This window comes from Homo sapiens, chromosome 17, assembly GCF_000001405.40.
Source record: "Homo sapiens chromosome 17, GRCh38.p14 Primary Assembly".
In the NCBI taxonomy this organism is placed as follows: Eukaryota; Metazoa; Chordata; class Mammalia; order Primates; family Hominidae; genus Homo; species Homo sapiens.
Genome location: NC_000017.11, coordinates 59891714 through 59906113, shown reverse-complemented (window position 1 = coordinate 59906113; position 14400 = coordinate 59891714). Strand labels below are relative to the sequence as shown.

The 14400-nt window shown below is 45.3% G+C and overlaps 2 protein-coding genes across 35 annotated transcripts in view, besides 2 other annotated features; one reads left to right on the top strand and one right to left on the bottom strand.

Moving 5' to 3' along the window:
• RPS6KB1 (ribosomal protein S6 kinase B1) overlaps positions 1-12993 on the bottom strand; it is a 57454-nt gene extending 44461 nt beyond the window's left edge. For 20 of the 25 annotated variants that reach the window (NR_161461.1, NR_161462.1, NR_161458.1 and 17 more), the window contains exon 1: positions 12789-12993. Coding sequence is in view for 13 of the 25 variants with exons in the window: in NM_001369679.1 (NP_001356608.1) it covers positions 12789-12929 (141 nt within the window). In the remaining 12 variants the exon portion in view is untranslated. Of the gene's footprint in view, positions 1-12189; positions 12319-12783 lie in introns of all 25 variants that reach the window. The other 5 variants (NM_001369673.1, NM_001272044.2, NM_001369672.1 and 2 more) reach the window with 2 other exon arrangements.
• Positions 12576-12775: a silencer, noted in NCBI's record as "silent region_8784". NCBI's record gives its function as "represses an Ori minimal core promoter by ATAC-STARR-seq in GM12878 lymphoblastoid cells {active_cell/tissue: GM12878}" and the evidence as "EXISTENCE:reporter gene assay evidence [ECO:0000049][PMID:35858748]".
• Positions 12966-13245: an enhancer, noted in NCBI's record as "active region_12520". NCBI's record gives its function as "activates an Ori minimal core promoter by ATAC-STARR-seq in GM12878 lymphoblastoid cells {active_cell/tissue: GM12878}" and the evidence as "EXISTENCE:reporter gene assay evidence [ECO:0000049][PMID:35858748]".
• The window catches only part of TUBD1 (tubulin delta 1), a 33465-nt gene continuing 32235 nt past the window's right edge, over positions 13171-14400 (top strand). For all 10 annotated transcript variants that reach the window (NM_001193613.2, XM_047436202.1, NM_001193611.2 and 7 more), the window contains exon 1: positions 13171-13417. The gene's annotated coding sequence lies outside the window, so the exon portion shown is untranslated. The remainder of the gene's footprint in view (positions 13418-14400) is intronic.

Here is a 14400-nt window from a genome sequence, read left to right as displayed (position 1 = left end):
TCTTTCAATAAATGTGTTGGAACAACTGGATATCCACATACAAATCAAATAATGATGCTAGGACAACTGGATATCTATATGCTACTTCACACTATACACAAAAATTAACTCAAAATGGAGCAAAGACCTAAATACAGGAGCTAAAACTATAAAACTCGAGCTGAGTGTGGTGTTGTATGCCTGTAGTCCCAGCTATCGAGGAGGCTGAGGCAGGATGATCACCTAAGCCTGGGAGTTCCACTCCAGCCTGGGCAACAGAGCAAGATTCTGTCTCAAAAAAATAATAATAAAAAAAAGGTCCTCCCAAGGGCCAGGCGCAGTGGCTCACACCTGTAATCCCAACACTTTGGGAGGCTGAGGCGGGTGGATGACCTGAGGTCAGGAGTTCAAAATCAGCCAGGCCAATGTGGTGAAACCCCGTCTCTACTAAAAATATAAAAAATTAGCCGGGCATTGTGGCGGGAGCCTGTAATCCCAGCTACTCAGGAGGCTGAGGCAGGAGAATTGCTTGAATCCAGGAGGCGGAGGCTGCAGTGAGCTGAGAGCGTGTCATTGCCCTCCAGCCTGGGCAACAAGAGCAAAACTCCGTCTCAAAAAAAAAAAAATCCTCCCAAAACTTAACAACAAAATAAAATTCTTAAAAGAAGCATAGGAGGGAGTAAATCTTCATGATCCTGGGGAAAGTAATAGTTTCTTATATACATTACCAAAAGCACAAACAATTTAAAAAATCAATAAATCGATTTACTGAAAATGTAAAACCTTTGCATGTCAAAAACACCAACACCATCAAGAAAGCTCAAAGAGACTGAGCACAGCGGCTAATGCTTGTAATCCCAACACTTTGGGAGGCTGAGGTGGGCATATCACTTGAGCTCAGGAGTTTGAGACCAGCCTGGGCAACATGGTGAAACTTGGTCTCTACAAAATTAGCCAGGCATAGTGGCGCACATCTGCAGTCCCAGCTACTCAGGAGGATGAGGTAGGAGGATTGCTTTGAGTCCAAGAGGTCAAGGCTGCAGTGAGCCAAAATTGCGCTACTCCTGCCTGGGTGACAGACTGAGACCCTGTCTCAAAAAAGAAAATAAAAACCACAGAATAAGAATATGCAAGGAATGCAGCCAGGCGCAGTCGCTCAGGCCTGTAATCCCAGCACTTTGTGAGGCTGAGACAGACAGATCACAAGGTCAGGAGTTCGAGACCAGCCTGGCCAACATAGTGAAACCCCATCTCTACTAAAAATACAAAAATGAGCTGGATATGGTGGCGAGTGCCTGTAGTCCCAGCTACTCGGGAGGCTGAGGCAGGAGAATTGATTGAAACTGGGAGGCAGAGGTTGCAGTGAGCTGAGATCGCGCCACTGCACTCCAGCCTGGGCAACAGAGCGAGACTCCACCTCAAAAAAAAAAAAAAAACAGAATGCCAGGTGCAGTGGCTCATGCCTATAATCCCAGCACTTTGGGAGGCCGAGGCAGGAGGATAATTTGAGGACAGGAATTCGACACCAGCCTGGCCAACATGGCAAAACCCAATCTCTACTAAAACTACAAAAACTAGCTGGGCGTGGTGATGGGCACCTGTAATCCCAGCTACTAGGGAGGCTGAGGCAGGAGAATTGCTTGAACCCAGGAGGCAGAGGTTGCAGTGAGCAGAGATGGCGCCACTGCACTCCAGCCTGGGCAATAGAGGCAGCTCCGTCTCAAAAAACAAAAATGATACATAAAGAATTACTCCGGGCTGTGCGCAGTGGCTCACGCCTGAAATCCCAACACTTTGGGAGGCCAAGGAGGGCGGATCATGAGGTCAGGAGTTCGAGACCAGCCTGACCAACGTGGTGAAACCCTGTCTCTACTAAAAATACAAAAATTAGCCGGACGTGTTGGTGCGCACCTGTAATCCCAGCTACTCAGGAGGCTGAGGCAGGAGAATCACTTGAACCTGGGAGGTGGAGGTTGCAGTGAGCCGAGATCACGCCACTGCACTCCAGCCTGGGCAACAGAACAAGACTCCATCTCAAAATAAATAAATAAATAAATAAATAAATACTCCAACTCAACAATAAAAAGATAAATAGGCCAGGCGCAGTGGCTCATGCCTGTAATCCCAGCACTTTGGGAGGCCAAGGTGGAAGACTGCTTGAGGCCAGGAGTTTGACAGCAGAACTCTAAAGTGAGATCTCATCTCTAAAATAAATAAATAAAATATATAAAGAAAAAGATGACACACCCAATTTTTGAAAAATGAGCTAGGATCTGAATAGGTATTTCTCCAAAGAAAATATACAAATGAACAATAAGCAAATGGAAAGATGTTCAACATCATTAGTTGTTAGGGAAATGCAAATCAAAACCACACTGAGAAACTACTTCACACCCACTAGGATAATAGATGATAAAGAGGAAAAGTAAGTTGGGGGAGGATGAGAGAAACTGGAACCCTCATACAGTGCTAGTGAGAATGTAAAATGGTGCAACCGTGTTGGAAAAGTTCGTCTCTTAAAAAATTAAACATAGACTTACTACTGCATGACCCAGCAAATCTACTCCAATGTATCTACTCAAAAGAAATGAAAAGTATATGCTCCACAAAGATCTGGGCAATAATGTTCATAAAAACTTTTTTTTCTTTTTTTTCTTTTTGAGACAGGGTGTCACTCTATCACCCAGGCTGGAGTGCAGTGGTGCGATCATGGCTCACTGCAGCCTCAACCTCCTGGACTCAGGTGATCCTCCCACTTCAGCCTCCCGAACAGCTGGGACTACAAGTGCATAGCACCATGCTCGGCTCTTTTTTTTTCTTTTTTTTTTTTGAGACAGAGTCTCACTCTGTTGCCCAGGCTGGAGTGCAGTGGTGCTATCTCGGGTCACTGCAACCTCTGCCTCCCAGGTTCAAGCAATTCTTTGCCTCAGCCTCCTGAGTAGCTGGGATTACAGGCACCCGCCACCACGCCCGGCTAATTTTTGTATTTTTAGTAGAGATGGGGTTTCAGCATCTTGGCCAGACTGGTCTTAAACTCTTGACTTCATGATCCACCCAGCTCGGCCTCCCAAAGTGCTGGGAATACAGGCCACCATGCCCAGCATCGGCTCATTTTTTGTAGAGAACAGGTTTCATCACGTTGCCCAGGCCGGTCTGGAATTCCTGGACTCCAGCGATCCACCTGCCTCAGCCTCCCACAGTGCTAGGATTATAGGCATGAGCCCCCACACCCAGCCTTCTAAAAGGTTTATTCAGGCCAGGCGAGGAGGTGGCTCATGCCTATAATCCTAACACTTTGGGAGGCAGAGGCAGAAGAATTGCTTGAGGCCAGGAGTTTAAAACCAACCGGGACAAAATCACGAGACCCCCATCTCTGCAACAAATCAAAAAATTAGCTGGGAATGGTGGCACGTGCCTGTGGTCCCAGCTACATGAGAGACTGAGGCAGAAGAATTACTTCAGCCCAGGAGGGTGAAGCTGCAGCGAGCTTTTTCACGCCACTGCACTACAGCATGGGCAACGGAGTGAGACCCTATCTCCAAAAAAAAAAAAAAAAGAAACAAAAAATGCTTTATTCACAATTCAGTTGAACATCTGAATGAATAACTCAAATGAACATCAACCGGTAAATGGATAAACAAAATGCACTGTAGCCATAAAACAGAATAACTATTTGGCCCTAAAAAGAAATGAAGTACTGATACATGTTACAACATAAATGATCTTCAAAAACTTTATGCTGTGGCTCACGCCTGTAATCCCAGCACTTTGAGAGGCCAAGGCAGGCGGATCACTTGAGGTCAGGAGTTTGAGACCAGCCTGGCTAACATGGCAAAACCCCATCTCTACTAAAAATACAAAAATTAGCCAGGTGTGGTGGCGCACACCTGTGGTCCCAGCTACTCAGGAGGGTGAGGCAGGAAAATTACTTGAACCCAGGAGGCAGAGGTTGCAGTGAGCAGAGATCACACCACTGCACTCCAGCCTAGGTGATAGAGTGAGACTCCATCTCAAAAAAAAAAAAAAAAAAAAAAGTGAAAGCCACCAAATATAAAAGGTCATACACTATATGATTCCATTTATATGGAATGTCCAGAAAAAGCTTTTTTTTTTTTTTTTTTTAGAGACAGGTTCTCATTCTGTTGCGCAGGTTGAAGTGCAGTGGCAGGATCACGGCAAACTCAACCTTGGAGACTCAAGCGATCCTCCAACCTCAGCCTTCCAAGCAGCTGAGACTACAGCCGCACACCACCAAGACGGATAATTTTTTTCTATTTTTCGTAGAGACACGGGTCTCACTATGTTGCCCAGGCTAGTCTCAAGTGATCCTCCTGCCTCGGCCTCCCAAAGTGTTGGGATCACAGGTATGAGCCACACTGGGCCTAGAAAAGCCAAATCTATAGAGATGAGAAATAGGTTAGTTGCCTGGGGCTGAGGGTGAGAATCAGAAGTAACTAAATTGGCCAAAACTCTGTTTCTTTTTTTTTCTTTTTTTTTTTTTTTTTTTTTCAGAGACAGGGTGCTGTTATGCTGCCCAGGCTGATTTCAAACTCCTAGGCTCATGCGCTCCATCTGCCTTGGCCTCCCAAAGTACTGGGATTACAGGCGTAAGCCACCATGCCCAGCCCCAAAATTTCTTTATAGGGTGATAAAAATTTCCTTTTTTTTTTTTTAAGATGGAGTCTCGGCCAGGCGCGGTGGCTCACGCCTGTAATCCCAGCACTTTAGGAGGCTGAGGCGGGCGGATTGCAAGGTCAGGAGATCGAGACCATCCTGGCTAACACGGTGAAACCCCGTCTCTACTAAAAATACAAAACATTAGCCGGGCGTGGTGGCGGGCACCTGTAGTCCCAGCTACTCGGGAGGCTGAGGCAGGAGAATGGCGTGAACCTGGGAGGCGGAGCTTGCAGTGAGCCGAGATCGCGCCACTGTACTCCAGCCTGGGCAACAGAGCGAGACTCCGTCTCAAAAAAAAATGCAAGGTCTCACTCTGTTGCCCAGGCTGGAATGCAGTGGTGCAATCTCGGCTCATGGGAAACTCCACCTCCCAAGTTCAAGTGATTCTCCTGCCTCAGTCTCCCAAGTAGCTGGGATTACAGGCATGCACCACCACGCCTGGGTATTTTTGTATTATTAGTAGAGACAGGATTTTACCATGTTGGCCAGGCTAGTCTTGAACTCCCAACTTCAAGTGATCCATCTGCCTTGGCCTCCCAAAGTACTGAGATTACAGGCCTGAGCCACTGCGCCCGGCCGAGTGGTAAAAATTTCTAAAACCTAATTTTGGTGATGGCTGCACAACTCTGTAAATATACTCAAAGTCACTGAATTGTATAAACAAAAAACAACAAAAAACTTGGCAGCAGAATTTCAGTTACTGACATTATAATATATAGCTTTAAAATCAATCTAATCTGATTATGAACTCTCAGTTTACACGAAAGGATACTAATTAATTTAAAATAGACTCCAGGCCAGGCGCGTGGCTCACGCCTGTAATCCCAGCACTTTGGGGCCAAGGCAGGCGGATCACCTGAGATTGGGAGTTCGAGACCAGCCTGGCCAACATGGAGAAACCCCGCCTCTACTAAAAATACAAAAATTAGCCAGGCCTGGTGGCGGGCACTTGTAATCCTAGCTACTCAGGAGGCTGAGGAAAGAGAATCGCTTGAACCCAGGAGGTGGAGGTTGCAGTGAGCCAAGATCGCGCCATTGCACTCCAGGCTGGATGACAAGAGTGAGACTCCATCTCAAAAAAAAAGAAAAAGAAAATAGACTCTAAAACATTACAAGTCTTTAAGCAATCATGTCAAAACTTTAGAGTAGTTAAGATATTAAAGTGAATATATCTTTCTTCAAAACTACCAGTACACAGCCAACATACACAACAAAAACACATAGGGGTGTGTGTGTGTGTGTGTGTGTGTGTGTGTGTGTGTGTGTGTGTGTGTGTGTGTGTGTGTTTAGCAATTAGGTTTCTGTCACCCAGGCTGGAGTGCTGTAGTAGGATAATAGCTCATTGCATCCTCAAACTCCTGGGCTCCAGTGATCATCTCTTCTCAGCCTCTGGAGTCACTAGTGCCAGGCGTGTGCTGTGTGCTACTATGCCCACTATTTATTTTTTTAATTTTTTGTACAGATAGGGTCTTGTTTTGTTGGCCAGGTTGGTCTCGAACTCTTGGCCTCAAATGATCCTTCCACCTTAGCTTCCCAAAGTTCTGGGATTACAGGCACGAGCTATCATACCCAGCCAAAAACTGATAGTATTCTTATAGAATAAATGTTCAAATGCCCCCAAAACACAAAATTTTAGTCATAACTCACTCATGGTGTGACCAAATCACGATAACATGTAATACCAGGAATGTACACTTCATGATTATACCCAGGCAAAGAGATGGGGCAGTATCAAGGGGGAAAAAACCAATTCTCACCATTTTAACTGGATACAGTTTCTTTTATGTGTGGGATATGGGGGTGGTCATGGTTAAAGGTTTTTTTTGTCTTTGTTGCTCTACGTAATCGCCTAGGATGGCTTCACTTTTATGACAAAAGACTAACTTCTTCCAGATGTGATAAAACTGGTATTACATAATTGTTTTTTCTTTAATGTTAGTTTTACTTAATTCTAAATTAAAGACTACAGAGTAGTTAAGACTGGACCATGATTTTGAAGCCACCTCACAAGATACGCCCTGTAGCTATGTTTCATTTCCTAAGCTGGCCAGACCTATAATGCTGGCACCTGCATATTGTGCTAATAACTTCTACCGTTACTGTCTAGGACAGAAGCATTTGAGGCACAAATCTTTCCTGCTACTCAGTGTTACCTCTAGAAGGCTCACACAAGAAGTGTCAAATAACATTATGTAATACATACTGACAACTCTCTTTCACAGGAAACTCTTTACTCCTTTTTTTTTTTTTTCTGAGACGAAGTCTTGCTCTTGTCCCCCAGGCTGGAGAACAATGGCGCGATCTTGGCTCACTGCAACCTCTGCCTCCCAGGTTCAAGTGATTCTCCTGCCTCAGCCTCCCGAGTAGCTGGGATTACAGGTGCCTGACACCAGGCCCGGCTAATTTTTGTATTTTTAATAGAGACGGGGTTTTCACCATGTTGGCCAGGCTGGTCTCGAACCCCTGACCTCAGGTGATCTGCCCACCTTGGCCTCCCAAAGTGCTGGGATTACAGGCATGAGCCACCCCGCCTGGCCAGGAAACTCTTTACTCCTAATTTTTTTCTGCTGCCTTAAGCTTTATGGCCTATCCAATGTCTGCTGTGTTCATTAGGATTGACAAGATTCAGTAACTTAGAGGAAATGGAAGAAAGGGTAGAACTTTGCCTAAACTCTTGGGCTATTTAAAAATAGTTGCTGCTGGCCGGGCACGGTGGCTCATGCCTGTAATCCCAGCACTTTGGGAGGCCGAGGCAGGTGTATCGCCTGAAGTCAAGAGTTTGAGACCAGCCTGGCCAACATGGTGAAACCCCGTCTCTACCAAAAAAATACAAAAAATTAGCTGGGTGTGGTAGTCGGCACCTGTAATCCCAGCTACTCGGGAGGCTGAGGCAGGAGAATAGCTTGAACCCAGGAGGCAGAGGTTGCAGTGAGCCGAGATCGCACCACTGCACTCCAGCCTGGGCCACAAGAGCAAAACTCCGTCTCAAAAAAATAAAAAATAAAAAAAAGTTGCTGCTTTATAGTAAGTATATATTACAAAGCAAGATAAGTATTGATATTTTTTCTATAATTTTTCATAATCATGAATATTTGAGTATATACTATCTATATAGCACTTTGGTTTTCAAAAATTTTAAACCTTTTACTCAATAAAAATCTGATGTCCCAATCTGAAACTTGTACAGTAAGCCTGCGTGATTATTTCAAATTTTGAATTAGAGTACAAAGTGAGAATTTTTTAAATTGCATTACAGTTTTCTACTACTCTTAATGCTATAGAGAGCAGAGAAGATTCCAACATTTTTGCAATCTAAATTCTCTGAAGGAAAACTTTTCCTTAGTTTCAATTTACTGCCCCAAATGATATCATCAACAGTGAAACAAAAAAACAAACAAAAAAGACACCCTCCGCCCAAAAACTCCCCTCTTACCAATAGGCTTTGATTATATTCCTCTGAGATATTTAAACAGAATCTTTTTTTTTTTTTTTTGAGACGGAATCTCACTGTGTCGCCCAGGCTGGAGTGCAGTGGTATGATCTTGGCTCACTGCAACCTCCACCTCCCAGGTTCAAGAGATTCTCCTGCCTCAGCCTCCTGAATAGCTGGGACTAGAGGTGTGCACCACCATGCCTGGCTAATTTTTGTATTTTTAGTAGAAACTGGGTTTCACCATATTGGCCAGGCTGGTCTCCTGCTCCTGACATCGTGATCCACCTGCCTCGGCCTCCCAAAGTGCTGGGATTACAGGCATGAGCCACTGTGCCCGGCCTTAAACAGGATCTTTTTTAAGTTAGGTGGCAGATATTCAACTTTGTCCATAAATGTATCATTTAGTCTCATCTTTTAATCTCTAATTAAATAAACTATGGAAATACCTATATTTACTAACGCATAGTCACTCTGTAACGTACCTTGAAAGGCACATCTCTCTAAACGGGATCAATTAGTTTTAAAAAAAAATACACACTATGATACTACAGTTGTAAAAATACAGCACCTCGAGTTTAACTGCAATTATTAAGTCTCTAGGTATACGAGGTTAAACCTGAATGATTGGTTCCTTAGCAATGACAAGACAAGCTGAATTTCTGTGAACTAGCTAATTGCTTAATACGCCAGGATATTTTGAGAGTACTGTACTTTACGTACTTATTTAATGTAACCCTCATGTTATAGAAAACATTAGAGATTAAGGAATTTACTCCAGGTCACAGAGTGAGTATGGCCAAAGGAATCTGAATTCACTTTTGACATACCACAAAGAGGAACATTATAAACACAACTAGTAAATGCAATGAAGAACCTGTGCAATGAAGCCTGCTGAATTAAGTCAGAAGACACTACCACTATGTGATCTTTGGCTATCATATGGCCTATGCCTCAGTTTCCTTACTATAAAATGAGGAAAACTGATATGCACCAATGTTTAAAAACTTTGTGTAATAAATTAAAGTCTATAAATTCACAAATAGAAACTATCAGAAGATTTTCTAAGAATCTAAACTTCTCTCATTTTCCAGAATTTTTTTTTTTTTTTATTTCAGGGTAATCTGGATGTCACCGAATCTCCTTGGATTGTCAACCCAATCGTACTCCAAATCTTCCATTATCCATCTTGAGGCACCTCTTAGAAAAAATAACACACTAAAAAGAAATATTTTCAACTCCAAAAAGTGTTGCTAAGACATATTTTACAGAAGTCTCTTCCTCAAAATCCTCTTTAATTGCCTTTGCTCTTTCCCCAGACTTTCTCTCCCCAAAATCGGGGCCATATTTCTTTCTCTTTCCTATTTCCACCAATTTTTCTGACCTCCTCCTCACACCTTCTCAAAATCCTACTTGCTTGTACCCAGCAGGACAAAAGCCCTGGAACACCTACTGTTCTTGAAACACAAGAAAGTGAAAAGAAAAGTCCCAGTTTACACAGGAATTTTAACAGAGTACTGTACTTTCAAAAAAGAATAAACCTGGCTGGGTGCGGTGGCTCACACCTGTATTTTGAGAGGCCAAGGCAGGCAGATCACCCAAGTTTGGAAGTTCCGGACCAGCCTGACCAACATGGAGAAACCCCGTCTCTACTAAAAATACAAAAATTAGCCGGGCCTGGTGGCGGGTGCCTGTAATCCCAGCTACTCGGGAGGCTGAGGCAGGAGAATCGCTTGAACCCGGGAAGTGGAGGCTGCAGTGAGCCGAGATAGCGCCATTGCACTCCAGCCTGGGCAAATAGAGCAAGACTCTGTCTCAGAAAAGAAAAAAAAATAAAATAAAATAAACCCAGTCTGGAAATTCTATCAGTTCAACTAATGAAGATATAAAGCACCTTCCTATCCAGTTTTCTCCCCTGCCCTGCTCCAAAGCCACTGTCATAGAGAACCAACATAACTGATAAAGAGTATGGTATATGGTATAAATAATGAAAGTAATCTCATATTTGTTTCCAATTGTAACTAGTGTACCATTATGTTCGATTAAGAGGCTAATTGGAATTCTGCATGAAAACATCATTGAAAAAGCACACACCAACCGGATGCAGTGGCTCACGCCTGTAATCCCAGCACTTTGAGAGGCCAAGGCTGGCAGATTGCTGGAGCTCAGGAGTTCAGGCCCACCCTGGGCAACATGGTGAAACCCCATCTCTACTAAAATACAAACAATTAGCCAGGCATGGTGGTGCGCGCCTGTAGTCCCAGCTACTCGGAAGGCTGAGGCACGAGAATCGCTTGAGCTCAGGAGGCGGAGGCTGCAGTGAGCCGAGATCAGGCCACTGCATTCCAGCTTGGGCTACACAGTGAGACTCCATCTCAAAAAAAATTAAAATAAAATAAAGTAAAAAGCCTGGTGGGGTGGCTCACACCTGTAATCCCAGCACTTTGGGAGACTGAGGCAGGTGATCACCTGAGGTCAGATGTTCAAGACCAGCCTGGGCCACATGGTGAAACCCCATCTCTACTAAAATACAAAAAAAGTAGCCAGGTGATGTGGCGCGCCCCTGTAATCCCAGCTACTTGGGAGGCTGAGGTAGGAGAATCGCTTGAACCTGGGAGGCAGAGGCTGCAGTGAGCCGAGATCGCACCACTGCACTCCAGCCTGGGTGACAGAGGAAGACCCTGTCTCAAAAAAAAAAAAAAAAAAAAAGCCAGGCGCAGTGGCTCACACCTGTAATCCTAGCACTTTGGGAGGCCGAGGCGGGCAGATTACGAGGTCAAGAGATCGTGACCATCCTGGCTAACACAGTGAAACTCCATCTCTACTAAAAATACAAAAAATTAGCCAGGTGTGGTGGCACGCGCCTGTAGTCCCAGCTACTCAGGAGGCTGAGGCAGGAGAATCGCTTGAACCCAGGAGGCAGAGGTTGCAGTGAGCTGAGATCACGCCACTGCATTCCAGCCTGGGTGACAGAGCAAGACTGTCTCAAAAACAAAACAAAACAAAAAAACCAGAAAGAAAGAAAAGAAAAGAAAAGAAAAGAAAAAGCACACAACTCAATACCCACTTTCTAAACCGTGTGATTTTGATTTAGTCTTATTTGATTATGAAAAGAACAGTATTGGTCAGGTATGGTGGTTTATGCCTATAATCCCAGCATTTTGGGAGGCCGAGGCTGGTGGATCATTTGAGGTCAGGAGTCCGAGAACAGCCTGGCCAATATGGTGAAACCCTGTCTCTACTAAAAATACAAAAATTAGCCAGATGTGGTGGCGCATGCCTGTAATCCTAGCTACTTGGGAGGCTGAGCCATGACAATCGCTTAAACCCAGGAGGCTGAGATTGCAGTGAGCTGAGATCGCACCATTGCACTCCAGTCTGGGTGATAGAGTGAGACCCAACTCAAAACAAAACAAAAGAAACAAACAAGAAGAACAGTATTATTTTAGGCCACTTAGTTTCTTAAAGTGTTCAAAATTCTTTATATACATCATCTCAATCTTTTGTCAACAGTAGGGCAGGTGCCAGAGGAGAAAAACTGAGGGTGAGGCAAGGGAAAGGAAGCCCCTGTGTAATTAGAGCAAACATCTGACGTCATTAACCCATGTATTCAACTAGACATTGGAATTTAGATGCTAAACTACCAAGAGGTTATCAACTGATGATCATTTGGTCCAGGATCAGTGATTTAGTATGACAACATTTTTGAACTTCAGGTGCAATTTGTCATTTTTTGATAAATTTATCTAGGGAAAAAAAAAGTTATTCCATAAAGATTAACAAACCACTAAGCCAGCAGGGTGAAACCAAGCTATGCATTAGGAAATACAATTCTAAATTTAGCACCCTAAATTACAGCAAGGAAAGCCCTCATACCACCATTCACAAGTCTCTGTTCAGGCAACTTATTTCTGGCAAGCTAAATCAAGGCTGTCAACTGGTTTTTGGTTTTTTTTTCCACCTCAAAATTACATTAATTATTCTGAAAAAAATACAGACATCTTCAACTTGGGGAAAGGTTACAAGTGCCGTGTGTCCTTATAAATGCTTATTTTAAAAAGTCACACGGAAGGGGGTAAAAAAAAAAAAGCAAACAAACAAACCCTGGAAGATTGGAAGATGCAGCAGAGCCCCCTTGCTCCCGAAATAAAACTCCTGGTGGCTGTAACAGCAGCGGCAGTGCTACTCCCGACAGAAGTTTTCAGCTGTCACTTCTAACAGCTGAGCGCTTCCTAGGAGAGAAGCGACAGGCCGAGAAGAGAGGTGGTTGTGGGAGGTCTGAAGATTCAATACTTGAAATTCTAGACTCGAAGGGAAACCCTCCACACTTCGCCTGCACTTACGGGACACCCAGCAAGAGCAGCCCCCGTCTCCCCAACACACGCTCACGCCACCCGCTCCCCGCCACACTCAAGTCCAACAGCTCGAGGAATCGACCACGCGCCCGTTCTCTTTCCCTCTTCAGATCGCTCGGGGCTGCGCTGACCTGGGGCTAAGGGTGCGACCTGCACCTGCGAGCCCCGCAGAGGCCTCACACCTAGGGCCATGACCGCCCCGCCCGCTCCCCTGTCTCAGGCCGCGCGACCCTCAGCTCCTCAGGAGCCCCCCTGGGTCTCCACGCTCTAGGACACACCGCGCTTCCTGAGCCCGCGCCGCCGCCCCGGCCCTGTCACCTCGGGCCCCCGGGGACCCCGGGCCTCACCCCCTCCTCCAGCTCATCCTCAGAGCCCGCGTCCTCTGGCTGGTCCAGGTCTATGTCAAACACTCCTGCCATGTCCTCAGCTTCCCTGTCTCGGAAGTCCGGGGCTGGGTAAAAGCCGTCCCGCCTCCTTCGTCGCCTCATGGGCCCGGACCCGCCGCAGCCACCACAGCCGCTGCCGCCATCACCGGCTGCTTAGGCTCAGTGCGTCTGCGCCTAGGCCTTAGACTGGCTCCTAAAGTTCAGCGTAGGAGCATGCGTACAGGGTTCCGTGAAGCCAAACAGTGGGCAGTGGACATGCGCAGAACTATCGGCAGGATCCAGGCGCTGGCAGAAACATGCGCAAAACACCAGCCGAAGTCGCGCTTGGAGGACTAGAGCATGCGCATTGTCAGCTGGAGCGTTCGGTGGACAGTGAGCATGCGTACCATATCTGAAGTTCGTAAATTGAAATTGAACATGCGTAATTAATCTTTCTGAATAGGAAAAAATATATACACAACAAAACTCTCCGTTTATGGAACATGCGCATTTGTTCTCAGTAAGTTTTTCGTTTTGAAAGTGAGCATGCGCATGGTGAGTAGGTTGGTCCGAAGTTTGAACCGGACAGAAGCGCTGGTCGGCGTCTGGCGGTGAGTCGGGTTACGTGTGGAGAACTCCTGGGGCCCGTGGGGAACGGGGGACCTTTTGGCTTTGCTCTTTACTAGTTCTGTGGCCTTGGAAAAGTCAATAACCTTTCAGAGCCTCAGTTTCCTTATCTGTAAAATGAGGATAATAATAAACCTACTTTGCCGGTTTGACATTTTAAGCACAGAGTCTGTCTCACAACCCACGGCTCATTTCCAGTGCTGCATAGACCTGATGTGAAGTCTTTATCAAAACTTGTCTTTTCCTAGGTAAAAATAATGAGGAACTGCTCTAATGTTTCTTTTGCTTTCTTTCTTTTTCAAATGGAGACAGGGTCTCGCTGTGTTGCCCAGGCTGGTCTGGAATCCCTGGGCTCAGGTGATCCTCCCGCCTCGGCCTCCCAAAGTACTGGGATTACAGGCATGAGCCATTGCGCCCGGTTAATATTTCATCTGGTTTTCTTTCTCCAAGCTGCATCTTTCTTGCTGTCCTACCTGAGCTAAACACAAAATCTTTCTTACAGGTCTTACTAAAGTTACCAGGCTAGACTAGTGGAGAAAGCGTAAGCTATTATTTAGAAGAGAGAAAATTAATGTTAATTGAATGTACAATGTTGAGCACACTTCTGTGTTCTACATGTTCATGTGGTGTGAAGGGTGGTACTACTAATTTCTTCAATCAGCATTTGTTTTGTCTTGTTTTTATTTTTTTAATTTTAATTTTTTTTTTTTCTGGAGACAGGAGGATGTCACTTTGTCACCCAGGCTGGAGTGCGGTGGCAAGATCTTGGCTCACTGCAGCCTGGACCTCCCAGGCTCAGGGGATCCTCCCACCTCAGCCTCCCGAGTAGCTGGGACTGCAGGCGCACACCACCACGCCAAGCTAATGGTTGTATTTTTTGTACAAACAGGGTTTTGCCATGTTGACCAGGTCTGGAACAGCCAGGCTCACGTGATTCTCCCAACTCAGCCTCCCAAAATGCTGGGAT